This window comes from Homo sapiens, chromosome 8 (assembly GCF_000001405.40).
Source record: "Homo sapiens chromosome 8, GRCh38.p14 Primary Assembly".
Classification (NCBI taxonomy): Eukaryota; Metazoa; Chordata; class Mammalia; order Primates; family Hominidae; genus Homo; species Homo sapiens.
The window spans coordinates 95,098,542-95,125,973 of NC_000008.11; the positions used below are offsets into that span (position 1 = coordinate 95,098,542).

Consider the following 27,432-nt stretch of genomic DNA (forward strand, 5'->3'; position numbering starts at 1 on the left):
TGTAATCTCTCCCAGCTAGTCAGGGGGCTGAGGAAGGAGAATTGCTTTAACCTGGGAGGCGGAGGTTGCAGTGAGCCGAGATCGCACCACTGCACTCCAGCCTGGGCGACAAGAACGAAACTTCGTCTCAAACAAACAAAAAAACTAAGTCTTATTAAAAACTCTATGAACATTTTGCAAAAGTACTGGATCTAATTCAAAGTAGATCATATTGCCATGTTAAAATACAAAATTAGCTGGGCGTGTGGCACGCATCTATAATCCCAGCTACCCGGCAGGCTGAGGCAGGAGAATTGCTTGAACCCAGGAGGTGGAGGTTGCAGTGCGCCAAGATCGCCCCACTACACTCCAGCCTGGGCGACAGAGTAAGACTCTGTCTCAAAAACATAAAAAACAAAAAACAAAAAACTGGCTCTAGGCTGGGTGTGGTGGCTCACGCCTGTAATCCCAGCACTTTGGGAGGCCGAGGCAGGCAGATCACCTGAGGTCAGGAGTTTGAGACCAGACTGGCCAACATAGTGAAACCCCATCTCTACTACAAATAAAAAATTAGCTGGGCGTGGTGGCAGGTGCCTGTAGTCCCAGCTAATCTGGAGGCTGAGGTGGGAAAATTGCTTGATCCCAGGATGTTGAGGCTGCAGTGAGCTGTGATTGCCCCACTGTGCTCCAGCCTGGGTGACAGAGCAAGACCCTGTCTCAAAAAACAAAACAAAACAAAAGCTGGCGTCTCTTTCAGAGTATATTCTTTCTTCTGGGCAACCACCAGAGACTACCAATTCTCTCAGGCTTCCAGCTGGAAAAAAAAAAAAGAAAAGAAAAAAAATGGCCACTCTCATCTGTGCCTTCCTCCATATTCTCTGCCTGCACCCACTTCTGTCATCTGGCCAAAACTGCTGATAGTTCATGTAAGGGGTTGAGCGTAAAGAGTTCTTATACCAGGCATGGTATAATCCCAGCTACTAAAGAGGCTGAGGCAGGGGAGTCCCTTGAGCCCAGGAGTTTAAGATCAGCCTGGGCAACATAGCAAGAGCCTATCTCAAAATTAAAAAAAAAGAAAAAGAAAGAAAAAGAATAAACAAAGGATTCCTAGTGTTTCGCCTGCCCCTAGCAGAGAGGAGAGCTCCCCTAGCAGTAGCTTCTGGAGACTAGATTCTTCTTGGATGTTCTACTTTTTCTTTCTACTCACTCCCAGTTATGGAGCTTCAGCCTTCATCTTACCGGGGCTTGGTGGGGGCACAAAGCCATCTTGAAGTTCAGCTCTTCTCATTCCTAACTACCCCACTACTGTTGTCTCATCACTAAATCGTTTCCTATAATACGGCATCTGCAAGTGCCTATAAAATAATCCTTCATTAATGGAAGTTTAGCTTCTAAATGTTTTCTCTGATGCCTTTTCATTGCCCCAGGCTTTGGGAGAACATGCGCAGGTGTGTCTAGGCTCTTTAGTGCTGGTCTGGGCTACAGATAATGATGCTTAAATCATACGTGAGGCTTGGAGTGAGTTGAACAAGGATTAGCCTATCTCATCTAGAAATTGATTTAAACCAAGTGGGGACTCAATCCAGGGCTCTCCCTACCTTTCTCCCCTCTTAATCATTTCCTGCCTTAGTTCATGCTGTGTAAGGAATAAATGAGCAATCACAAACATTCCTGAAATGAGGATACCCGTAAGAATTAGGTTTTAAAAGTGATTTCCTCCTCAGGATGTGGTCTGCATGCAAAAAAAAAAAAAAATTAAATAAATAGAACAACAGTACATAGAAGACAAAGTGAACAATTTAACTTGAAAGCAGGTTCTGCTCCACAAAAACTGTGGTGGAGGTATGGCTGGATTTTTTTCTTCTTAAAGAAGAGGAAAAAGTTATTGATAATGAAAAGGAAATGATCTGAAATGTTTGGTCTAGAGGGCTACTCCATGTCAGAGGCAAAGTTGCCTCTGCTTCCTGAATATATTATGCCTTTGAATATACTGTGTTACTGATTTACTGTAAGTCTTAGTTTCACTTTCTATGTTTGTTTATGTTAAACCAATTTATCCTGTATGCGAGAGCTAGCTTAGTTTTGGATTGGACGTCTTTAGAAGCTATATTAGTTCAGAAGGGGTTGGGAAGTATTGGCTAAATGACGCAGCTTCCAGTATGATTTATACCCAGAAACCTTTGCATGAAGATTCTGACTCAAAATATCCATTGTGTCCATAAACTAATACATTGTTTTCTATTTTTGTAGACATTTCCTGTTTAACTTTCACATACTCTGTAAAGTAGGTGTGCCTATTACTTTGTTTGTTCTTTCAGTTGGACAAACCAAAGCTCAGCAAAACCAAGTTATTTTGCTCTCTTCCCTCCCGACCCCCCTCGCCCCAAGGTTACCGTAAAAAGCGGGAATAGAATCAGTGTTGGCTGCCTCCTAGCTTAATGTTCCATTTCTTGGGTTAAGCCAATCTCAGAGCACTTTTAATTTACCTATTTGTTTAAGCAATCTCAAGGTAAATATGCTTGAGTCAAATTAAAACCAAGTGTTTAATGTGCTTATTTTCAGAATGATTTTACTTATAGTAATTGCCTGCAATACATTGTGTTCTTAACAGGGCAAAGAAGGCTTTATTTAAACACCCCTATCTGGTGACTTAGTCCATTTTCTTTTCATCTGATGATAACATCTGGCAGCACCCTCAGTTCCCAAGTGAGTCACATAATGCACAATGTTGCCCTTGTCTGGTTTTCTCTTAGCTGGGACCATCTAATGGGATTTAGGCTAAGGAATTTCTGCAAGCATAATAGTAGAATCTTAGATTTGGAAGGGACTTTATTGGTTACTTGGTTGCAATTCCCACCCAATGCAATCACCTCTTCCACAACATACCTGAGAGTGGCGGGCACTCCTTGTCTCCCAACTTCCAGAGACAGGGCGCTCACAGCTGGGCAGGACAGTTCATTCCATTATTGAACACTGAATTGCTGGAAGGCTCTTCCTCATGCTGTCATGATGAACTGTCTCTGTAACTTCCACCCCTTGGCCCTAATTTGGTCATCATATGACAAATTATATTACAGTCATATAATTCAAGTGCACCCTAACGTTGAAATTCTGCTTTCACGTGATGGACACATGCATAGTTTTCATATCATCCCCTCAGAAGATGACTCTTCCTAGGTAAACATTTCTTGTTATCTTAATTGTTCATTCCCCTTTTGTGGCTTCTGTAATCAGGATTCTTCAATTTAACAGAGGCAGAAAACCCAACTCAAAATGACTCGAGTAAAGAAAAAAAATTGGCTTCTGTAACTGAAAAGTGCAGAGGAAGAGGCAGCTTCTGACCCAGCTGGATCCAGGCTCAGCCAGTGCCATCAGGGCCTGGTGTCACCTGCCATCTGTGTCATTCACAGTTCCATCAAGAGAGAGCAGCCACGTGATCATTTGAACATTAGGAAAAGTGTAATCTAAAAAAGTATTTTTTTTTTTTTATTTTTGAGATGGAGTCTCACTCTTGTTGCCCAGGCTGGACTGCAATGGCATGATCTCGGCTCACTGCAACCTCCACCTCCCGGGTTCAAGTGATTCTCCTGCTTCAGCTTCCCAAGTAGTTGGGATTACAGTGCCCGCCACCAAACCAGCTACTTTTGTATTTGTACTAGAGTTGGGGGTTTCACCATGTTGGCCAGGCTGGTCTTGAACTCCTGACCTCAGGTGATCCACATGCCTTGGTCCCCCAAAGTGCTGAAATTACAGGCAGGAGCCACCACACCCAGCCAATCTAAAGAATTATTAACTATTAACAGGGGGCTGGGATAACAGTGGATTGGCTAGTAAGAAATAAAGAGAATTTGAAAGAATGCAGGAATAGCAGATTTAAGGAGTACTACTTCTCCTAGGGCTGAGATAGAGCACCTAAGGAAGAATCTGCTACTGCTGGCCCCCCACTCCTGACCCCCTGGGTTGAGACCCAGAACTTGTCAAAGAGCACATGGCTGTGTCTCATTGATTGACAGAGGAGTTGCTGTTATGCAGTGTCAGTGGAACTTGCTAGAAATCTATTCCCTGGAACTTGCTGGAAATTCATCTCTAGGATGCTCAGGAAAGCAATTCATGGGAAAGTATTTCCCATGGGTACCTGAGGGAGGTGCCCTGGTAAGCTGCTGGTACTGAAGGAGCCAGGTGCTAGAGGAGCTGTCAGTGTTGCAAGAGCTGGACACTGGAGAAGCAGCCATGCTCCCAGTGAACACACTGGAACCAGGAAGCAAACTGTATGTCTTCTGCAGTGTCTCTTCAGCGCCCTCTACTGAAAAAGTTTAATAACATGACAAATAGTAAAAAAATACTTTGGGGCCCAGCTAGATTTTTGCTCAACAAACGATGAAGGGTAAATATGGAGCTGAGAGGCAATAAACTGACAGCCGCACACCAACTTTGCTTTCCTTTTTTTCTCTACAGGCTCTACAGTCTCATGTACCTTATGACGACAAGATGGTGGGTGGCAACTCCAGGCTTTTAGCCCTTCATTTTGGTGACCCCGATGCAAAGAGAGCACTTTTGTCCCCCAGCATTATGCCAGATTAAGTTTGACTCTGTTTTGCCAAGCTTGTGTCACATGTTTGTTCCTGAGCCAATCATAGTGTTCAGGTGGTTTTGTGGCTCTGATTGGTCAGCCCTTAGGTGTGAGTGAGTCAACCTTACCCCTGTCAAATGTATGGAGGAAATTCCAAGGAAAATCAACCTGTTGATACCAGAAGAGGGAGAAATGGCTGATAGGCAGGCAAAAATCTACTGTACTGGTGGTTGTTAGGAACAGAGTATGGGGCCAGATATAGCTCGATCAATCAATGACTGTTTTCTCACCTGTAAAGTGGAAATAATAATAATGCCTGTTTGAGTTGGAATGGATAAATAAATGCCACACCTTTTTCTTAACCAAATTTAGAAACAATTGAGAAATTGTCTCAAAAATCAGTAGGATGGCAAATAAAATGTCAGCTTTATTACTGAGAAAAGTTCATATTGAATAACATTCAGGGGCTGACCCTGTGTCATGGTCTCTGGTAGTGTTAAACAGCCCACAGGACCCTGTTCCCTGACCTCCTGCCCCTCTTGCTATGTAGATTGGCTGCTGTAAAACATATGGCATAGACATCCAGTGACTTTCTTTGGAGATAGGCAAATCTCAAAGAGAAGGATAGGAGTGAGCCAGTCCGGGCATGCATGGTTCTTTTGTCTGAACTCCCAATAAAATAAGCTATTCTTTCTTTCTTGGAGAAGAAGTTGGAGTAGGGCAAGAGGACAGGATTGTGATTCTAGCAGAGTTCTCTCCACAATCCCTAGCTTTTTGTTCTCTTAATTGATTGGGCTTACCATTAAGGCTGTGATCAACCAGGGCTTTAACTACCCACTTGGGGGAGATCAGGTGTCTATCAGAGCCTGCTTCTTCCTTTATAAGGCTGCTCCATCAGTTCCAACCACTGCTTCTTCGGGTTTTCTCTTGGCCACTTAACATTATTTTATTTTTATTTTTTAATGTGATAGAGACAAGGTCTCACTATGTTGCCCAGGCTGGTCTCAAACTCCTGACCTCAAGCAATCCTCCTGCCTCCACCTCCCAAAGTACTGGGATTAAGCTGTGAGCCACTGCACCTGTATTTTAAATTCTAATTCATTACCAACATTTAAAGGGTGGGTGATATAGCACATAAAAATTCACATTTCCTAGTTCTTTTGGGAAAAAAGAGGTGAAACAACTTGGGATCCTCATTCTTCCGTGGAAATAATCAGTTGGAACTGAGTATTGGCTGCCAGTTTCAAATAGAGCATGGCCTCTCCTATCTTCTGCAATCCCCACTACTCCCAGTTCTTATATCTAGTCACCTCGCTCACACACCTACTTGCCTGGTCCCTGTACGCATTTACATTTGTAACTCCCTATGAAAGTAGGCATCTTACAGTTGCACTTAAACACAAAGTCAGTACCTTTAAACACAAAGGTACTGACTTTCCTTTTGTCCTGGACTGTCTTTCTCAGCCTCGTCTAAGGATGTTTATGTAGTGAACAGCCTTGGAAGATATAGTGTCCCCTCTGGAGCAAAGGCCATTATAACTGCCCATTCTAAAAGAGTCATGCTTCCTAATCTTTGGCTTCCTCATCCCACTGTAACACACTCCATTGTGTGTGCAGTTGCCATTGGGCTCTCTTCACCCTTTCCTCTGTGTTTCTTTTGTTATGTGACTGCAGCCCCCTCACAGCAAGGTAGATTGTTCCAGGCTGGGCACCTGACCCTCGAGCAGCACTACATTGGTTGGTCAGCACTGATCATGTGGCCTGGCTGGGAAAGATGAGCTGCGGCAGCCAGAGTTTCTCTCTGAGAGAATAAAGTTGTTAGTGACAGGATCAGGAAACAAAAGGATGCCCAGAAAGACAGAAGATTAGAATTGGGGCCATGGAGGGTAAGAGCAAGTCAAATTTTTGAGTGTAACAGAAGTGCACAGAGAAGCAATGATGCTATGAGAAACACACACACACACACACACACACACAGAGAGAGAGAGAGAGAGAGAGAGAGAGAGAGAGAGAGAGAGAGAGAGAGATCACGTAGCCCAAGAGAAAGAAAAAGTAGCCTCAGTTCCAGATGGCTTCCTAGCTTCTGTTCACAAAGAACTTTATCATAAATGGCCTTTTTCTAAGGAATAAATAAGTCTTTGTTTCCATCAACAAAGAGAGCCTGACCAAGACAGCTGGCCATGCCTGTAAGCAGATGTCTAGCTGAGGTATAGCACACTGTTGCTCTATCACAAAATACTCCTCTTCTAAAAAGTGACCCTGAATTTAGGCGCATTTTTTTTTTTTTGAGACAGGGTCTCACTCTGTTGCCCAGGCTGGAGTGCAGTGGTGCAATCATGGCTCACTGCAGCCTCAACCTTCTGGACTCCAGAGATCCTCCCATCTCAGCATCCCAAGTAGCTGGGATTACAGGTGCGTGCCACCACATCCAGCTAATTTTTGTTTTGTTTTGTTTCGTTTTTGAGATGGAGTCTGGCTCTATTGCCCAGGCTGGAGTGCCTCCTGGGCTCAAGCAATTCTCCTGCCTCGGCCTTCTGAGTACCTGGGATTACAGACATGCGCCACCATGTTCAGCTAATTTTTTGTATTTTTACTAGAGACGGAGTTTCACCATGTTGGCCAGGCTGGTCTTGAACTCCTGATCACGTGATCTGCCTGCCTTGGCCTCCCAAATTGCTGGGATTACAGGCGTGAACCACCACACCTGGCCAATTTTTGTATTTTTTGTAGAGATGGAGTTTTGCTATGTTGCCCAGGCTGGTCTTGAACTGCTGTGCTCAAGTGATCCTCCTGCCTTGATCTCCTGAAGTGCGGGGATTACAGGCATGAGTCACCTTGCCTGGCCTAGGGGCAACCATCTTAATCATAGGAACCAGAAAGTTGTCTTTAAAAATATGTGTATGGACCAGGTGCGGTGGCTCATGCCTGTAATCCCAGCACTTTGGGAGGCCGAGGTGGGCGGATCATGAGGTCAGGAGATCAAGACCATCCTGGCTAACATGGTGAAACCCCATCTCTACTAAAAATACAAAAAATTAGCCAGGCATGGTGGCAGGCACCTGTGGTCCCAGCTACCCGGGAGGCTGAGGCAGGAGAATGGCGTGAACATGGGAGGCGGAGCTTGCAGTCAGCTGAGATCATCCCACTGCATTCCAGCCTGGGCAACAGAGCAAGACTCCATCTCAAAAAAAAAAAAAAAAGTGTATGGAACAGAATAGGGGCTTCAGAAATAATACCGCACATCTACAACCATCTGATCCTTGACAAACCTGACAAAAACAAGAAATGGGGAAAGGATTCCTATTTAATAAATGGTGTTGGGAAAACTGGCTAGCCATATGCAGAAAACTGAAACTGGACCCCTTCCTTAAACCTTATACAAAAATTAACTCAAGATGGATTAAAGATTGAAACATAAGACCTAAAACCATAAAAACCCTAGAAGAAAACCTAGGCAATATCATTCAGGACAGAGGCATGGGCAAAGACTTCATAACGAAAACACCAAAAGCAATGGCAACAAAAGCCAAAATTGACAAATGGGATCTAATTAAGTGAAAGAGCTTTTGCACAGCAAAAGAAACTACCATCAGAGTGAACAGGCAACCTACAGAATGGGAGAAAATTTTTGCAATCTATCCATCTGACAAAGGGCTAATATCCAGAATCTACAAGGAGCTTAAACAAATTTACAAGAAAAAAACCAAACAACCCCATCAAAAAGTGGACAAAGGATATGAACAGACACTTCTCAAAAAAAGACATTTATGTGGCCAACAAACATATGAAAAAAAGTTCATCAACACTGGTCATTAGAGAAATGCAAATCAAAACCACAATGAGATACCATCTTACACCAGTTAGAATGGCGATCATTAAAAAGTCAGGAAACAACAGATACTGGAGAGGATGTGGAGAAGTAGGAACACTTTTACACTGTTGGTGGGAGTATAAATTAGTTCAATCATTGTGGAAGACAGTGTGGTGATTCCTCAAGGATCTAGAACCAGAAATACCATTTGTCCCAGCAACCCATTACTGGGTATATACCCAAAGGATAATAAATCATTCTACTATAAAGACACATGCATGCATATGTTTTTTGCAGCACTGTTCACAATAGCAAAGACTCGGAACCAACCCAAATGCCCAGCAATGATAGACTGGATAAAGCAAATGTGGCTGCACCATGGAATACTATACAGCCATAAAAAAGGATGAGTTCATGTCCTTTGCAAGGACATGGATGAAGCTGAAAACCATCATTCTCAGCAAGCTAACACAAGAACAGAAAACCAAACAATGCATGTTCTCACTAATAAGTGGGAGTTGAACAATGAGAACACATGGACACAGGGAGGGGAACATCACACACCGGGGCCTGTCGGAGGGGTAGGAGGACAGGGAAGGGATAGCTTTAGGAGAAATACCTAATGTAGATGACGGGTTGATGGGTGCAGCAAACCACTATGGCACGTGTATACCTATGTAACAAACCTGCACGTTCTGCACTTGTATCCTAGAACTTAAAGTGTAATAAAAAAAAAAGTGTTACTCTGAAAAGGTGAATTTTATCTTATGATAATTGTATCTGAGTAAAGCTATTATTAAAAAGTGTTTTTTTAAAATGTTAATGTAAGTACAGATTATTGAGTTTTTAAAGGTACCAAGGAAGTCATCAAGGACATATGTAAGGCACAGAATGAGTCTGCCTTTCAGGAGCTAGAGGAGCTTGGGAGGGTATAACTGAATGACCTGGAGTCATTTGGATTTGTGACCTAGGAGCTTCGATAGTACCAGAAGTAGATGGAGAAAGATGCCCTCCTAGTATTCAACTGTCTGGGCCACATGAGTTTGGTTAGGCTGTGTTGGCAAGTCCTCCCACCCAAATGATCTTGGAAACATCGGCTGGCACTTCACACCCATTAGGATGGCTACCATAGAAAAACAACAACGACAAAAAACCAGTACATAACCAGTGTTGGTGTGGGATATGGGGCAATTGGAATCCTTGTACTTTGCTGGTGGGATGTAAAATGGACAGCTGCTATGGAAAGCAGTATGGCAGTTACTCAAAAAATTAAATATAGAATTACAATTTTATCTAGTAATTCCACTTCTGGGTATGTACACTAAAGAATTGAAGGCAGGGACTCAAATATTTTACACCCATGTTCATAGCAGCACTATTTGGAATGTTTTGGAAACAACCCAAATATCTATTGATTAATAATTGGCTAAATAAAGTGTGGTACATACATACTATGGGATATTTCCTAGCCTTAAAAAGGGATGGAATTCTGATACATGCCATATTATGCATGAGCCTCAAAGACATTGTACTAAGTAAAATAAGCCAGATACAAAAGGACAAATATGGCATGATTCCACCTATATGAGGTATGAAGAATAGTCAAATACCTAGAGACAAAAAGTAGAACAGTGCTTACCAGGGCCTGGGGGAAGGGACAAATTGGGAGTTATTGTTTAATGGGTAGAAAGTTTCTGCTTGGGATGATGAAAAAGTTCTGGAGATGGATAGTGGCGATGGTTGCACACAGTGTGAATGTACTTAAGACCACTGAACTGTCCATTTAACAACCAGTGTTGGCGTGGATATGGGGAAATTGGAACCTTTGTGCTTTGCTGGTGGGATGTAAATTGGTACAGCTGCTATGGAAAACAGTATGTCAGTTCCTCAAAAAATTAAATGTAGAATTACAATTTTATCTAGTAATTCCACTTCTGAGTATGTACACAAAAGAATTGAAAGCAGGGATTCCAATATTGATTAGTTAAATGGTTAAAATGGTAAATTTTATGTTAAGTATATTTTACCACAATAAAAATAGATAGATAAATAGAGTGGATGTAGCAACATTTTAATCATTGAACCTAAGTGGAATACAGGTATTCATTGTACTATTCTTTTCATTTTTCTCAATATGTGAAAAATTTTGTGATGTTTGGGTGGAGTTAGATATAGAAACAATTTACAGTTTATCCCATTTGCAGGATTTTTCCCAGCTCCAAGCTCTTTCAGGATAACAAACACCTCAGACTAAATCCCCCCAAAGCTTCTCAGCTCACTTGTTAAAAATGTCCTTCCAAAAACTTTAATATTAGTTAGTTGGGCAATAGAAATCAAAGTCTATTTGTCCAACATAATGTACAGGCATGTCCTTTTATAACGTTTTTAGAATTCACAAAACAAAATAAACGATTAACAAATGTAAAACATTTGATGGATTTGTGCTGCCAACAGAATAATATCCAGAGATGTCTGTAAGGTCTGTATGATCTTTACGGCCTGAGTCAAACTTCTTTCTTAGCTTCATCTAACTTCTTCCCATGCAGGCTGTTTATCCATTGGAAGAGCATCTGGAAATCTTTGTACTCTTCAGAGAATGCCTTACAATTCCATGATAAGATGTATAAATGCGTGGATTTGCAGAAAATGTAATCATAGATAGAGATGTAGCGTTAGATAGATAGATAGAGAGAGAGAGAGAGAGAGAGAGAGAGAGAGACCTTCATGATGAACCCATATGTCTGTCCATTTGTCTTCTCATGACCCCATATCACTTTGACCTCTTCTTATATCATCACATCTTCCTTTTCTGACTCTGGACTTCCTACTTCTCTCTTATAAGGACCTTTGTGATTACATTGGGTCACCTAGACTAGCCCCTGCCTGCTTTGCTGATAAGGAAACTGAAATTCAGATTGGTAAAGTGAAAATGACTTATCCGAGATCATGCAGGTGAGTCTGTTTCTGCCTCTTTGTATGGAATACTTTGCTACACTTACAAAAAAATTGTGAAGTTGTGTACCAGTATGTTCTTATAAGTATTCTTCTCCTCTTTATCATCTTTGAATTACCTTAATTTGATCCCCTGGATTGTGGTAAAAAGCATTCTTATTAATTTAGGAGGAATATTCTAATGATCCATTATGTGTTATCTGTGGACCTGTGGCAGTTTCTCCAATAATGGTGCTCTTAGTCCTATAATAGCCAATGATGGTGACTGGCTGTCCTTAGGAGCAGTGGCATATGCCTGAGAGATGGTTGGAGGAGCAAATACTTTAGTTTGGAGTCACAGAACAGAATGAATGTATTTAATTCTACAGCTGTGATCTCATTAGTATCTCGCCTACAACAAACTGCACCAGGCAGAACATGCTTCAGCTTTTTACCCAGCAACTGTCAAGATGCCTTTGTGGAGCTCTTTATCTACAGGCACAATTTCATTGCTCTGTAGGGTATGGTTCATGGGTGCCACTTACTTAAGAAGCCAGATGGGCTAGCAAAGCCATTTCAAATATCAGTGATGTACAGTGTTGGACACATTCCAGTAAAAATAAGTTAGCTAACATACATTGAGTGCTTCTATGTTCCAGGCACTATTCTAAGTGCTTTCTATAGTCTTCAAAAAACCCAATAAGGCAGATACTATTCTTATCCTGATTGTGGAGGTGTAGCAACAAAGATAAAGAGAAGTTAAGCCACTGATTGAAAAACAACAGCCAGTAAGTAGCAAAGCTGGGATTTGAATCCAGAAAATCTGGGCCCAGAGTTTGTGCTTTTAAATTTTTATGTTCTTCTGCCTCCTCTGTAACTGTTAAATTGATATAATGGATAATTCTACATTAGAACCATGTTGTTATCCAATCTTCTAAAGGAAAATTTGCCTCCCCTCTTTATTTTGCTCCATCAAGGTGTTATTGGATAATGTCCTTTCTGGATCCCACAATTCAGAGTCAGCTCCAAGATTTCTGTTGCTATGGAAAATTTCTGGCTGAATGCAGTCTTTCCTATGCTGATTGGTAAATCACTTGTAACTTCTCCAAGCAATGCATTGCTAGAAAGGAATTATCATCCCAACTCGCTGATCCCCCTCCTTGGAGGTGAAGCCTTGTGGGCTGGCCTGGCTTGATTGACCCTAAAGGCCTGGGCAGGAAGCCAGAGGTTCTTACCCACACTTAATGACAGGGGAGCCGAGACACCAAGAGCAGCCAGGGGGTAGCCAGCGAACTCAAGACTTTTATTCTAACAAGTAGCATTGAGATAGGTAGGGAGAGATGAAGCAGAGAGGAATGAGATTAGAAGGCCAGTGAAGACAGGAGCAAGAAGAGGCAAGCCAAAAGGAGTCATTGGAAGGCATTCCAGGCAATTCTGAGCAACTCTATGCAAGATCAGAGACAGGAAGCTGTTGCCAGATGCACAGACAAGTTGGAATACACTTCACAAACATCACAGAAAATATAAAACTCTATTCAAATCCTTACTGACATATGTATCCTTTAAATACACGTGTAATCTCAGTATGATCGATTCTGTGCACTCTTTTTACTTGGTGTTTATAAAGTGGTTCCAAGAAGCCACATACTGCACATTCCTGGATTATAGTTTGATGACATTCTTTCCTCTTGCTGTTTAGCCATTTGCTTGTTCTTGAGATGGTTCCAACATCTTGCTCGTGTAGGTAGTGCCTTGGTAAGGTGTTGTGGAAATGTGCCTGCCAAAGCAGCATTCCTCCAGGCACACACACACCTGCCTGCTCATCGTGGGCACCAGTATCTTGACCAAAATAGTCATCTGGGATCCACCATGGCCAGCTGTCCACCTCTAACAATAACCAAAGGGGTCCTGGAACTCAGGACCTTATAAAAACCTCAGAGGATTAACTGAGAAAGACCAAGCCCAGACTATAAAAGAATAAAAACATATTATTTACCATTATCATACAAATGACCATATATTATATGAGTTTTAAAATACTGTTTAGCGGGCTCCTATGTTCACTTTATATCCTCCAGCTATGGATAAGCCTTTTGTCCCTGCTTCCAGTATGGTTCTTCTGCTTTTGCATCCTGATTCTGCTGGTTTCACTCCTCTGCTTAAAACCTCCCATTGATTCCTACTGTTCTTAGAAAGAAACCCATGCTTCCAACTATGGCGGACAGAATAATGGCCCCTCAAAGATGTCCACCTCCTAATCCTTGGAACCTAATTATGCTATTTTACATGGCCAAAGGGGCTTTGCATATGTGCTTAAGTTAAAGACTAAGAGTGCAAAGGCCTCTGCTTTTGTATGTAATTGTAATGGGTTGAATAGTGGCCCTCAGAAAGATATGTTCAAATCTGAACCCCCAGAACCTGTGGATTTGACCTTATTTAAAAAACCGTTCTTTGCAGATACAATGACATGAAAGGTCTCAAGATGAGATCATCATGGGTTTAGGGTGGGCCCTAATCTAGTGACAGGTGTCCTTATAAGAGAAAGGCAGAGGAGATTTAAGATGCAGAGACACACGGGGGAGACTGGAGCTCCACTGACACAAGCCAGTGAACTCCTACAGTCACCAGAAGCTAGAAAGGCAAGGAAGGATTCTCTCCTGGAGACTTCAGAGAGAGCTTGAACGTTCTGGCCTCTAAAACTATGAGAGAGTGGATTTCTATTGTCTTTAGGCCATTCAGTTTGTGACAATCTGTTCTGGCAGCCACAGGAAACCAACACAACAATCTTCCCTACACTCCTCTGTTACACCATAAACCATTAAGATCCTGTTTGCCTACCACGTTGCAGACAAAAGACACCTTGCCATCCTGCTCCCTCCTGTCCCTCCATGCTCCTGCCGATTCCTCTCTCTCCTCCCCAGTGCTTTGATGACCCATTAGTATATATTTCTCTGTGTGACTTTGCTTTTAGCACACACAGTACAAACATTAAGATTAAAAACAAACAGCACTAAGATTAAAAATGTTTAGCAACCAGGATGCCCCATGGGCTGACAAATCTGAATGGACGCCAGTTGCCACGATGGAGCAAAGTCCAGATGGCCCACTGCCAGGCCAGGCATTGCCCCCTTAGGTGCTGGATCCTGGCCAGCAGATATTGGCAAGACTCCTGGTGTTAATTCTCACTGTATACCAGGGCCTGTGCTGAGTAGACGATCTCTTTGAGACCACCACAGTCCTACGGGTGAGGAAACTGAGACTGACTGAAGTTCAGTGATGTGCCGGAGGTCACACAGGTTGTAAGCAAGTGGCAGAGGAAGGGCTGGAAACCTGGTGGCCTGACTTTAGTCTGATTTTTTGTGGGGAGTGTGAGGAAAATCCTGGAGAGAATCATTTCTCTATGGAGTAGGGAATACTTAAAAAAGATGTGTCATCAGTCTAGGGGCCTTCGAAAATTAAATTATTTACTTCAGACAAATGGTGCCAGAGGGGATAGTAGCTGACTCATCATTCAGTCCCCACTGGAGCTGCAGGTATAAGCGCTGGGAGGGAGGTCTCATGGAGGAATGATCAACTCTGCGCCATCCCCATCCCAGGGAGAGGAGAGCTCAGAGCTTATGATACAGTGAGGTGCAGAGTACGCAGAGTCTGAGGGACCTTCCAGGGGTCAGGAATTGTATCCAGGTTCCGGGAGGTGAGAACTTGGCGGGATTTCTTAAGCCCTGAGGCTTTCCTGCATTGACTCTTCTTGCCTTCAAGCCCTGCTTGCCTTCCTGAGGTCATCTGCAGTGAAGGCTTAGCCAGGAAAGGAAATAAGTGCTTTTGTTAGGAAAGAGCAAAGACTGCATTGGACAAGCAATCTGCACCTCCATCCTTGGACTAGAGAAGAGAAGTCAGAGATAAAATGAGTGCCACTGGCAAGAATCACATGAACCCGGGAGGCAGAGAGGTTGCGGTGAGCTGAGGTGGCACGACTGCACTCCAGCCTAGGGGACAGAGAGAGACTCCGTCTCAAAATTTGTAGGGACATGGATGAAATTGGAAACCATCATTCTCAGTAAACTATCGCAAGAACAAAAAACCAAACACCGCATATTCTCACTCACAGGTGGGAATTGAACAATGAGATCACATGGACACAGGAAGGGGAACATCACACTCTGGGGACTGTTGTGGGATGGGGGGAGGGGGGAGGGATAGCATTGGGAGATATACCTAATGCTAGATGACGAGTTAGTGGGTGCAGCACACCAGCATGGCACATGTATACGTATGTAACTAACCTGCACAATATGCACATGTACCCTAAAACTTAAAGTATAATAATAATAAAACAAACAAACAAAAAATGAATGGTGTTGTCTTTAAAGGGAGAAGGGCCCTCAGTGGCCTGAGGCTTGCACAAGAGAAGAAAGGAGAAGGGTGGGGAGTGGGTGCCTCACCCTTAGCCAGAGGCATGGTCCCAGAAGTTTAACCACTGAACCCCAGTGGTTCCCTGACAGGCAGGTGGAGGTGAATGTGAGGGAGGCCCACAGGACCGCAAAAGCAGCTGGTGCTGTGAGTTCACCAGTAAGTGACTTTCCTGTGATTTCCCCGCTTATACCAAAAGCCATGTTTGCTGAAAGTCAATGGCATTTTCTGGAACTGCCTATGGAGGTGTACTTCACAGGAACTTTTAAATAACTTTAGTCCCAAGTGATTCATTATTCTATTCCATTAGTTAGTTGTTGGCAGATCTGTCACACCGTATACAAAAGCTGAGCTATTTCAGTGACTGTACTTATGAGTCATCTTGCTGACTTTCTGTATATATTTTCTACCACTGTTCTATAATCTCTTTCATTCACCCGGTATATACAGGTGATAATTATGTTCTTTCCTTTTCCCATATTTTTCTTTCTGTGAGATTAAAATAGCAACATTAACAAAAAAGTCAGGTATGGTTTTCTTTAACATATTGTTGAGATTTGTGAAATGGACTTTGATACCAGTGCTTCAAATTAGATCTGAAATGAAAAATAAGCTAATATAAATGTTCTCCTGAGATTTGCAGAAAATAATACGTGAAAGCGTCTCGAAATTAGCCAGGCGTGGTGGCAGGTGTTTGTAATCCCAGCTACTCGGGAGGCTGAGGCAGGTGAATCGCTGGAACCTGGGAGGCGGAGGTTGCAGTGAGCTGAGATCACACCACTGCACTCCAGCCTGGGGGATAGAGCGAGACTGTTTAAAAAAAAAAAAAAAAAGTGTCTATTGAGATAGGCTTGCATTTGAAGGGCCAAGCAAATCATGTACTCAACTTGCCAAATTGCCAACTCTTCAAAAATTCTTTTTATGTTTAATCAATCTAATTTATTCATCATTTCTACTGGAGTCTAAAAAGTTTGTCTTGAACACCTCAATATTTGTCAGCACCAAGAAGGCTGAAGGGTCTTATTTAGGAAGGAGAGAAGGAAAAATTATAGTGACCCAAGAAAAGATGGATCTGTATGACTGAGATGACTGCAAGCCACATGTTCCACTTACTATGCTATTTCTGGAAGGCATCCCTTGGCAACTTTTAAATGTTATATTATCATTTCTTGGAGACTTCTCTAGCTGTTTAAATGTGGTGAGAAGATGACAGAGTTATAACAGGAGAAGGAAGAGTCTTGCTTCTCTGATTGAAAACTGTTTCTCCATTTCCCTTCTTTTTTTTTTTTTCAGTCCTTGAAACTTTCTCCAGTTGACTCAGCCACACTGGTTGGAGCTCTCTTGCACATACTCAGAGGAACGCACACTTCTCCATTCAAACGACTGCATCAGGAAGTTAGAAGCATAACTTTGACTCAGTCGAGGCTTTTCTAGCCACGTATTTCACATACGCGAGCTGTCAGACCTCGGATGAGGGTCTTTACGCAGCTTCAAGGTATCTTTTCAGTTGCTCCAAACATGACTGCTTGGCAGATAGTTTTGAGAGAAGGTGTGACCTCAGAGTGTGAGAGCTGCTCACTTGTTCAGGCAGGTGCCCTAAAATGACACATGTCCGCCGGGCGCGGTGGCTCACGCCTGTAATCTCAGCACTTTGGAAGGCTGAGGCGGGTGGATCCCCTGAGGTCAGCAGTTAGAGAACAGCCTGACCAACATGGTGAAAACCCGTCTCTACCAAAAACACACAAATTAGCCGGGGGTGGTGGCACGTGTCTGTAATCCCAGCTATTCGGGAGGCTGAGGCGGAAGAATCGCTTGAACCGGGGAGGCGGAGGTTGCAGTGAGCCAAGATCGCGCCACTGCACTCCAGCCTGGGCGAAAGAGCGAAACTCCATCTCAAAACAAAACAAAACAAAACAAAACCAAAAAAACGAACAAACAAAAGTGACAGATGTCTACAAGCCAACACTTAAGGAATGCTCAACAGCTGGAATATTCTCAGTTTTTAAAGTTTTTTTTTTTTTTTCTAGATGCCGCAGATGGTGATTTGTTCTTCAGCCATGATCACTGGGGCCTGGATCATGCTTTTTACAAGTGACTGTACTCGCTACTTTTTTGTTTTGTTTTGTTTGAGATAGGATCTTGCTCTGTCATCCAGGCTGGAGTGCAGTGGTGCGATCATGGCTCACTGCAGCCTCAACCCCCTGGGCTCAAGCGATCCTCCCACCTCAGCCCCCCAAGTAGCTGGGACTACAGGTGAATGCCAACACAACCAGCTAATTTTTCTTTTTTTTAGAGACGGGGTCTTGCTGTGTTGCTCAGGCTAGTCTTGAATTTCTGCACTCAAGTGATCCTCCTGCCTCGGCCTTCCAAAGTGCTGGAATTACAGGTGTGAGCCACTGTGCCCAGCCTAACCACATTGAAGGCTGAGTTTAACCATATTTTGAAGTAAAAAGTACATGTATTTAAGAGAACTGAAAGTGACTCTGTGTGACTGGATTATTGTGTTGACACTATTAGTTAGAAGCCTTGGTTGAAATCAACAGAAAACCCAACTTACGCTGACTTAAACAATAAAAAGAATTCATGGTCTCACCTAAAAAGTCAGGAGGCAGTTCAGGCTCTAGATAAGGCTTGATTAAGGATCTTGTTTCTTTTCCTCTCTTTGTTCTGGCTTCCACTGTATGAACTGCATCCTAGGGCAGTCTTCCTTCAGAGTCCCAAAGCAGATGCCAACAGTCCTGGGATCATATGTTTCCTTGTTCATGACAGCAAGAGAGAGAACCTCTCTGCCCTCAGATGTCAGATAAATTCCTGGGCTTCATACTAATGGGACTGGTGGCTGTATCCAGGAGCATGGGATACCCTGCTGAGCATAGATCAGCTCATCACTGGAGTTGCGGGGGAATTAATCCCATCCAGATTATGCTTGCCTTGCTGAGAGTGGGTTTGAATGGTTATGCAAAGGAAAATTAGGGTGTTGTTTTAGAAAGAGTAAATGGATGCAAGGAGGCAAAAAATACCAACACTCTCTATTGAGTGTACTGGTAGAAAAACTGTGAGGTCCCTGGAAAGGTGGGCTGAGGAGTGAGAGTGGATTTTAAAGAGTCTGAACTTGAAATCTTTGAAAGACTTTAGTCAGCGATTATCACCCAACATCCACAGAAAGCTCTCCAGGGATATTTAATATCCAATAATCTTTTTACAAATAAAGCTTTTTTTGTGTGTGTGGTTGTACAAGTTAAATGTCTGGATAGTGAGTAGATGAATGCCTGTTATTTTGGGCATTGCACTTTTGTTATGTTTGGAATATTTCACAATTAAAAAGTGAACGCAATGCACAGACTTGACAGATATTACCAGTGTTCACCAGTGTATCATTTTTTCTCCTTCCTGGGTGCAGGAAGACTGCACTTCTTAGCTTTCCTTTTAGTTAGACAGGCCGTATGACTAGGCTGTGGACAAAAATGACATATGTCTCTTCCGGGCCAAGGCAGCAAAAATTCCTATGCAAACTTTCAGTTCTCTCTTCTCCTTCAGAGTGATAGTGGAGGCCAGATATTAAGATGGTGGAGTTGTAAGAACAAAGCAGCCTGGATCACTGAGTCACTGCATGGATATCAGCTGCTTTGGAGAGCCAGTAGATGTTCTGGTTATTGATTTCCATGTGTTCAAACTCCCCAAAAAACTTAGTAGTTTCAAGCAACAATTTACTATTATCTCTTATGATTCTGTGTCGGCTGACTGGGCTAAGCTCGGCAGTTCTTGCTTGGGTCTTTCATCTGATTGCCGTCAGGTGTTGACTGGAGCTGCAGTCACCCTAACAACTCATCTGATCTGGATCTCCAAAGTGGCTCACTTGTCTGGCTGTAATTAATGCTGGCTATTGACTGAGTGTAAGGAAGCTGTCAACTGGAGCACCTATGTGGCTTTAGAGTCTCACTGCATGGGTTCTGGGTTCCCACCAGATGCATCCCAAGAGTGAGTATTCCAAGAGACCAAGATGGGATTCAAAAAGCTTCTTACAAGCTACCCCTGGATGTCCTGGAACATCCTTGCTGCCATATTCTGTTGGTCAAGGCAAGTCACTAAGGCCAGTTCAGGTTCAAAGGGAGGGGAATTAGACTCCTAACGTTGGTGCAATGAGTAGCATATGTCACAGAGTGGGAAAGTATTAATAATGGTTATCTTTTATTATCTACTGCACCTAACTTACAGCTGACTTTGGGTGAGAAATAAATTTTATGTGTTAAGCCATTGAGATGTCCAGTGTTTTTTGTTGCCTCACCATCAGCCTAGCCTAAGCTGATTAATAAAATGGGAATTGTAGACAATATAGAAAAGACTTTAAAAAAAATTACTATGGTTACCCTTTTATGTAATTTCTCCTGTTCTTTTTTTTTTTTTTTTTTTTTTTTGAGATGGAGTCTCTCTCTGTCATCAGGCCAGAGTGCAGTGGCACAATCTTGGCTCACTGCAACCTCTGCTTCCCAGGTTCAAGTGATTCTTCTGCCTCAGCCTCTCGAGTAGCTGTCCTGTTCTTTTTTTATTGATATTTTTTATATATTGTTATCATGCTATATAGATAGGTTTGTAGTTTTTATCACTTAGTATTATAATATAAATGTATCCCTTTTCTATCAGAAGTCTTAGTAAAGACTTCGAATTACTGCATAATATTTCATTGTGACAAAGTATTCAACTGCTCTCAAATAGACGTTTAGTGTTTCCCACTTATTAATGGTATTAGAATACTGCAAAAAACACCTTTGAGCATAAAGCATCATTTTTTTTTAAATTATACTTTAAGTTTTAGGGTACATGTGCACAACGTGCAGGTTTGTTACATATGTATACATGTGCCATGTTGGTGTGCTGCACCCATTAACTCGTCATTTAACATTAGGTATATCTCCTAATGCTATCCCTCCCCACTACCCCCACCCCACTACAGGCCCCGGTGTGTGATGTTCCCCTTCCTGTGTCCATGTGTTCTCATTGTTCAATTCCCACCTATGAGTGAGAACATGGGGCTGTTTGGTTTTTTGTCTTTGCGATAGTTTGCTGAGAATGATGGTTTCCAGCTTCATCCATGTCCCTACAAAGGACATCAACTCATCATTTTTTATGGCTGCATAGTATTCCATGGTGTGTATGTGCCACATTTTCTTAATCCAGTCTATCATTGTTGGACATTTGGGTTGGTTCCAAGTCTTTGCTATTGTGAATAGTGCCGCAATAAACATATGTGTGCATGTGTCTTTATAGCAGCATGATTTATAATCCTTTGGGTATATACTCAGTAATGGGATGGCTGGGTCAAATGGTATTTCTAGTTCTAGATCCCTGAGGAATCGCCACACTGACTTCCACAATGGTTGAACTAGTTTACAGTCCCACCAACAGTGTAAAAGTGTTCCTATTTCTCCACATCCTCTCCAGCACCTGTTGTTTCCTGACTTTTTAATGATTGCCATTCTAACTGGTGTGAGATGGTATCTCCATAAAGCATCATTTCTTATAATAGTTTCTTAGTTTGGGCGCTATAACAAAATACCATAAACTGGGTGGCTTATCAACAACAGAAACATATTTTTTACACTTCTGGAAGTTGGAAGTCTCAAATCAGGGTTCCAACATAGTTGGGTTCTGGCAAGAGTTGTATACTGCCTGCTTCTTGGATCCTCCCATTGTGGAAAGAGGCTGAGAGAGCTCTCTGGGGTCCTTTATATAAGGGCACTAGTCCCATTTATGACTAGTCCCATTAATGACCTCATTAACTCTCAAAGGCTCAAACTCCTAATTCTATCACATTGGGGGTTAAGATTCTAACATGAATTTGGGGGTGACACAAATATTCAGTTCATAACAGACAGATTATATTCGTTCATCTTTGTATCTTTGATTTTGAAAGATTTTATTCTTAAGATTTTCTTGCAAGCACCCTTAACTCTATTCTCCTTCCCCATCTCTTTGTAGACAATGCTCAAATTTGTATTTTCAGTCCTGATCTCTCCCCTCACTCTAGACTTGATATTGCTATGTGAGATCACTAATAGATGTTTCAAACTAAGTATGTCAAATGATTCTTGATTCCTAGGTGACATCATGCTGCCTATCATCTTTATTTCCTTTATTGTACTCACCACTGTCTGTCTTTTCTCTCCTTGCTAGAATGTGAGCTCCATGAGGACAGGGACTCTGTCTGTTTCTCCTACCTGCCCTACCCCAGGCCATCCCCAACTCTAGGAACAATACTTAGTTCATAGCAGGCAATAGATATTTGTAAATAAATGAATGAATTTATATATAAATAAATAAGATGAATTTACTCTATATTTTCTTTCCACTCCAACCTTATCCCCAAGTGGAAGATTTCCATGATAATTTTGGTCTTCAAATTCATGATGAACATATTTTTATTTCTCTTTACAACCACAGTGCTCCATTTCTGGGAAAGTTGAATGTGTAACAAGACTCTTCTTGTAGGAAAGCAGAGACAAGGTGAAAATAAGGTGAAGATATGCTGGAGATGAAATGGGAGAGAAACAACAGGAGAAAAGTTCAGTAAACGGAGAAAGTGGGAAGAAGGTGTTGCATAGTGGGAAGAGGCCATTCGTAACTTTGCATCGCCATCAGAAAGCTATTTAATTTAGTGTTTTCCAGATCAAAATTTCCTTTCTAACACTTAGGAATTTTGGCCCTCGTTTTAGAAACAGACCTTTGCACCAAGTCCTGTGGTCTCTGGCTATAAGCCTCTCTGCCTTTTGCCTCTGTTCCCTGTTTCTTGGCTGCCTTGCCCTTAGTTTCATTTCCAAATTTTGGTTTCCTTTCCTAAAAGATGATTTGCCTTATGTGTGAGTCATAATGCAATGGCGATTGTATGTGCTGAGGCCCAATTGAGGTAGAATGGGCAAACTGCTCTGCAAGGAACACAGACCCTTCTTTGAGGCACTATTGGTCCAGCCACCTTCCCCTCTATCCAGCCATGCCTGCCTGTCCTGGTGCCCACCAGGCCTGGTGGCTGAATTTGAGCTAAGAAGTGGAGAAACGTGGGTGAATTTGGGTAGAAGTCAGGGCTGGAGATGAGTGTAGGGGATAGCTTCACACAGAGTCAAAGGGAGACCAGGTGAGGAGTGGGATTGGGTGGCTACAACTGAATGACGGTGTGTTCACATGGCATTTGTCCTGTTTGTGAACAGCCCTTGTGAGTTCTCAACTTCAGGAATATAAAGTCATTGAAGAGGCACAAAGATGGTGGAAAGACCTTTGCAAGAATTGGCCAGGGACCTGTGAATCAGACACATCAAGGATTAATATACCACTTTCTGCCTTTTCACATGAGTGGCAAAAATTTATATTTTCTTAGTAATTTCAACAGCAGCAACATTTGCTACTGCAACTATTGTCAACACATCCTCTGTTTATTGAGCATCTACTATTTGCTAGGTGCCGTGCTGTGTGCTTTGCTTAATATTATCACTAATCTTTATAATCATAGGGGATAGGGACTGTTTTCCTCATTTTATAAATTTTACAAATAAAGAAACTGAGGTGCAGGCCAGGCGTGGTGGCTCACGCCTGTAATCCCAGCACTTTGGGAGTCTGAGAAAAAAAAAGAAAGAAAGAAATTGAGGTGCAGAGCAATTAAGCCACTTACACAGAGTTAGCCAACTAAAAACTTATAGAATCAGATTTTGAATCTAGGTCTCTCTGGCTTTAAACTATAAAAGTTTTTATTTAAAAATACATTTTAAAAATAAAATCATGCTTAAATTTCATGTATTTGCATGGGAATATAAATGACATATTTATGCGAGTACTCTAGAAAAATATATTGCTATTTATTTATTTATTTTGAGATAGAGTGTCACTCTGTTGCCCAGGTGGGAGTGCACTGGTGTGATCTCAGCTCACTGCAACCTCCGCCTCCCAGGTTCAAGCAGTTCTCCTGTTTCAGCCCCCTGAGTAGCTGGGACTACAGGTGTGTGCCACCATGCCCAACTAATTTTTGTATTTTTAGTAAAGACAGGGTTTTATCTTGTTGGCCAGGCTGGTCTTGAACTCCTGACTTCAGGCAATCTGCTCGCCTTGGCCTCCCAAAGTGCTGGGATTACAGGCGTGAGCCACCACACCCAGCCCGGCTTGCTTTTTAAATAGATTCACTTGGCAACATTTGGATTTAAGGTTTCTGCTGAATTTTATTTAATCTGGCACCAATTTTTAAAAACCTAATACAGTGTTCTAACTTTGCAGATTTTATACTTATTTTGAGCTAGTTTCATAGGACATAAGCTTGTTAAATAACTGCTTGTTGAGGTTAATGTTTTGCCATTTATAGGATTTAATGTTGAGGAATACAGCATTTGCTGTGTATTTTTCCTCTAATGGCAGGGGAGGTAATGTTCCAATAATTTAGAAATTTTCTATGGAAGAAAGCAGCTGGTATGGTGTGGCTGTGTTCCCACCCAAATCTCAACTTGAATTGTATCTCCCAGGATTCCCATGTGTTGTGGGAGGGACCCAGGGGGAGGTAATTGAATCACGGGGGCGGTCTTTCCCTTGCTGTTCTCTTGATAGTGAATAAGTCTCACAAGATCTGATGAGTTTATCGGGGGTTTTCACTTTTGCTTCCTTCTCATTTTCTCTTGCTGCTGCCATGTAAGAAGTGCCTTTTGCCTCCCACCGTGATTCTGAGGCCTCCCCAGCCATGTGGAACTGTAAGTCCAATTAAACCTCTTTTTCTTTCCAGTCTCGGGTATGTCTTTATCAGCAGCGTGAAAACGGACTAATATACTAAATTGGTACCAGTAGAGTGGAGCACTGCTGAAAAGACACCCGAAAATGTGGAAGCGACTTTGGAAGTGGGTAACAGGCAGAGGGTTGGAACAGTTTGGAGGGCTCAGAAGAAGACAGGAAAATGTGGGAAAGTTTGGAACTTCCTAGAACCTTATTGAATGGCTTTGCCAAAATGCTGATAACAATATGAACAGTAAGGTCCAGGCTGAGGTGGTCTCAGATGGAGATGAGGAACTTGCTGGGAACTGGAGCAAAGGTGACTCTTGTTATGCTTTAGCAAAGAGACTGGTGACATTTTGCCCCCGCCCTAGAGATTTGTGGAATTTTGAACTTGACAGTCATGATTTAGGGTATCTGGTGGAAGAAATTTCTAAGCAGCAAAGCACGCAAGAGGTGACTTGGATACTATAAAAGGCATTCAGTTTTATAAGGGAAACAGCATAAAAGTTCAGAAAATTTGCAGCCCGATGATGCAGTAGAAAAGAAAAACCCATTTTTTGAGGAAAAATTCAAGCCAGCTGCAGAAATTTGCAGAAGTAGCAAGAAGCCTAATGTTAATCCCCAAGACCATAGGGAAAATATCTGCAGGCCATGTCAGAGACCTTCACAGCAGCCCCTCCCATCACAGGCCCAGAGGCCCAGGAGGAAAAAGTGGTTTCATGGGCCAGGCCCAGGGTCCCTATGCTGTGTGTAGCCTAGGGACTTGGTGCCTTGTATTCCAGCCACTCCAGCCATGGCTGAAAGGGGCCAATGTAGAGCTCGGGCTGTGGCTTCAGAGGGTGGAAGCCCCAAGCTGTGGCAGCTTCCATGTGGTGTTCAGCCTGCAGGTGCACAGAAGTCAAGAATTGAGGTTTGGGAACCTCCACCTAGATTTCAGAGGAGTATGGAAATGCTTGGATGCCCAGGCAGAAGTTTGCTGCAGGGCAGAGGCCCTCAAGGATAACCTCTGCTAGGGCAGTGCAGAAGGGAAATGTGGGATTAGAGCCCTGACACAGATCCCCCACTGGGGCTCTGCCTAGTGGAGCTCTGAGAAGACGGCCACCATTCTCCAGATCCCAGGATGGTAGATCCACCGGCAGCTTGCATCATGCACCTGGAAAAGCCACAGACACTCAATGCCAGCCTGTGAAAGCAGCCAGGAGGGAGGCTTACTCTGCAAAGCCACGGGGGTGGAGCTACCCAAGACCATGGGAACCCACCTTTTGTGTCAGCATGACCTGAATGTGAGACCTGGAGTCAAAAGAGATCATTCTGAAGCTTTAAAATTTGACTGTCCTGCTGGGTTTCAGACTTGCATGGGCCTTGTAACCCCTTTGTTTTGGTCAATTTCTCCCATTTGGAACAGATTTACCCAATACCTGTACCCCCATTGTATCTAGGAAGTAACTAGCTTGCTTTTGATTTTACAGGCTCATAGGCGGAAGGGACTTGCCTTGTCTCAGATGAGACTTTGGAGTGAGGACTTTTGAGTTAATGCTGAAATGAGTTAAGACTTTGAGGGACTGTTGGGAAGGCATGATTGGTTTTGAAATGTGAGGACATGAGATTTGGAGGGTCCAGGGGCAGAATGATATGGTTTGGCTTTGTCCCCACCCAAATCTCATCTTGAATTGTATTCCCAGAATTCCCATGTATTGTGGGAGAAACCCAGTGGGAGATAATTTGAATCATGGGGGCAGTTCCCCCATACTGTTTTTGTGGTAGTGAATAAGTCTCATGAGATCTGATGGTTTTATTAGGGGTTTCCGCTTTTGCATCTTCCTCATTTTCTCTTGCTGTCACCATGTAAGAAGTGCCTTTTGTCTCCCGCCATGATTCTGAGGCTTCCCCAGCCATGTGGAACTGTAAGTTCAATTAAACCTCTTTTTCTTCCCAGTCTCGGGTATGTCTTTATCAGCAACGTGAAAATGGACTAATAAAGCAGCTATTGTGTATTTTTGTGAATGAGTATTTGAATTGGATCCAAAATGTACCCATGATTGTGCCTTGTGTTTTTCTAAAAAATAAAACAATACACACTTATTATAGAAGATTGGCTAGATACAAAGAAGAAAAAAGGAAAAGAAGCATGCTAGTCAGAGAAAAAAAATTAATAGAGTGGTGTATTTTATATGGATTTTTTATACTCAAGTTTACATATTTTACACATAATTTACTAATCTACTTATAATGTATTTTATTGTAGGGTATTAAGTCTTATGTTTTTGATAGGACAGAGGTGATTATAAACCTAGTTCCTTAGTTTCCGATATGACAAGTAAATGATGTCCCTTTTAGAAATATATAAACTTAGTTTGCAGTAAGGCAAATACTCAATTTATATTGATTGTTGGAAAAATTCACAGGATGCAACGTATACTAGATTTTTATGTTAAAACTCCCAAGATCAAGATCAAATTTCTGCCAAGAAAATTTAATTTTTAAAAATATTGGTAAGTATCTCAGTTCAAATTTAAACATCACTTTTTGATTCTAAGGTGAAATAGCTTGACAGATGGTTAAAAGAGCAGTTGCCGAAGGAAAATGATTACAATAAATCTTTCAAGTGATGAATTTAATTGCCTGCCAAAAAATTTCTCAAATGACTCTCCAAGCTTAAATTTCAACCTCTCCAAGAGACATGTGTGTCATTTTTTTTGAATGGATTTTATTTTTGGAGCAGTTTTATATTCACAGTAATATTGAGTAGAAAGTTCAGAGTTCCCATTATATCCCCTGACCCCCAAAACACACAGCCTCCTCTACTATCAACATCCTACACCAGAGTGATACAGTTGTTATTCATACAATCTATGAATCTACACTGACAAGTCAATATTACCTAAAGACCACAGTTTATGTTAGGGTTCACTCTTAGTGGTGTACATTCTATGGGTTTGGGCAAATGTCTGATGGTATGTGTTTACCATTACAGTATCATATGGAGTTGTTTTAT

The 27,432-nt window shown here is 42.2% G+C and overlaps 1 protein-coding gene across 2 annotated transcripts in view, besides 7 other annotated features; it reads left to right on the plus strand.

Annotated features, from left to right (window-relative positions):
* Positions 1-19,955, plus strand: part of NDUFAF6 (NADH:ubiquinone oxidoreductase complex assembly factor 6) — a 222,698-nt gene extending 202,743 nt beyond the window's left edge. For both annotated transcript variants that reach the window (NR_148914.2, NR_148913.2), the window contains 3 exons: positions 11,203-11,312; positions 16,995-17,196; positions 17,729-19,955. The gene's annotated coding sequence lies outside the window, so the exon portion shown is untranslated. The remainder of the gene's footprint in view (positions 1-11,202; positions 11,313-16,994; positions 17,197-17,728) is intronic.
* Positions 1,864-1,953: an enhancer, noted in NCBI's record as "active region_27642". NCBI's record gives its function as "activates an Ori minimal core promoter by ATAC-STARR-seq in GM12878 lymphoblastoid cells {active_cell/tissue: GM12878}" and the evidence as "EXISTENCE:reporter gene assay evidence [ECO:0000049][PMID:35858748]".
* Positions 2,284-2,343: an enhancer, noted in NCBI's record as "active region_27643". NCBI's record gives its function as "activates an Ori minimal core promoter by ATAC-STARR-seq in GM12878 lymphoblastoid cells {active_cell/tissue: GM12878}" and the evidence as "EXISTENCE:reporter gene assay evidence [ECO:0000049][PMID:35858748]".
* Positions 11,168-11,237: an enhancer, noted in NCBI's record as "active region_27644". NCBI's record gives its function as "activates an Ori minimal core promoter by ATAC-STARR-seq in GM12878 lymphoblastoid cells {active_cell/tissue: GM12878}" and the evidence as "EXISTENCE:reporter gene assay evidence [ECO:0000049][PMID:35858748]".
* Positions 16,895-17,014: an enhancer, noted in NCBI's record as "active region_27645". NCBI's record gives its function as "activates an Ori minimal core promoter by ATAC-STARR-seq in GM12878 lymphoblastoid cells {active_cell/tissue: GM12878}" and the evidence as "EXISTENCE:reporter gene assay evidence [ECO:0000049][PMID:35858748]".
* Positions 17,395-17,484: a silencer, noted in NCBI's record as "silent region_19380". NCBI's record gives its function as "represses an Ori minimal core promoter by ATAC-STARR-seq in GM12878 lymphoblastoid cells {active_cell/tissue: GM12878}" and the evidence as "EXISTENCE:reporter gene assay evidence [ECO:0000049][PMID:35858748]".
* Positions 19,241-19,290: an enhancer, noted in NCBI's record as "active region_27646". NCBI's record gives its function as "activates an Ori minimal core promoter by ATAC-STARR-seq in GM12878 lymphoblastoid cells {active_cell/tissue: GM12878}" and the evidence as "EXISTENCE:reporter gene assay evidence [ECO:0000049][PMID:35858748]".
* Positions 22,423-22,632: an enhancer, noted in NCBI's record as "active region_27647". NCBI's record gives its function as "activates an Ori minimal core promoter by ATAC-STARR-seq in GM12878 lymphoblastoid cells {active_cell/tissue: GM12878}" and the evidence as "EXISTENCE:reporter gene assay evidence [ECO:0000049][PMID:35858748]".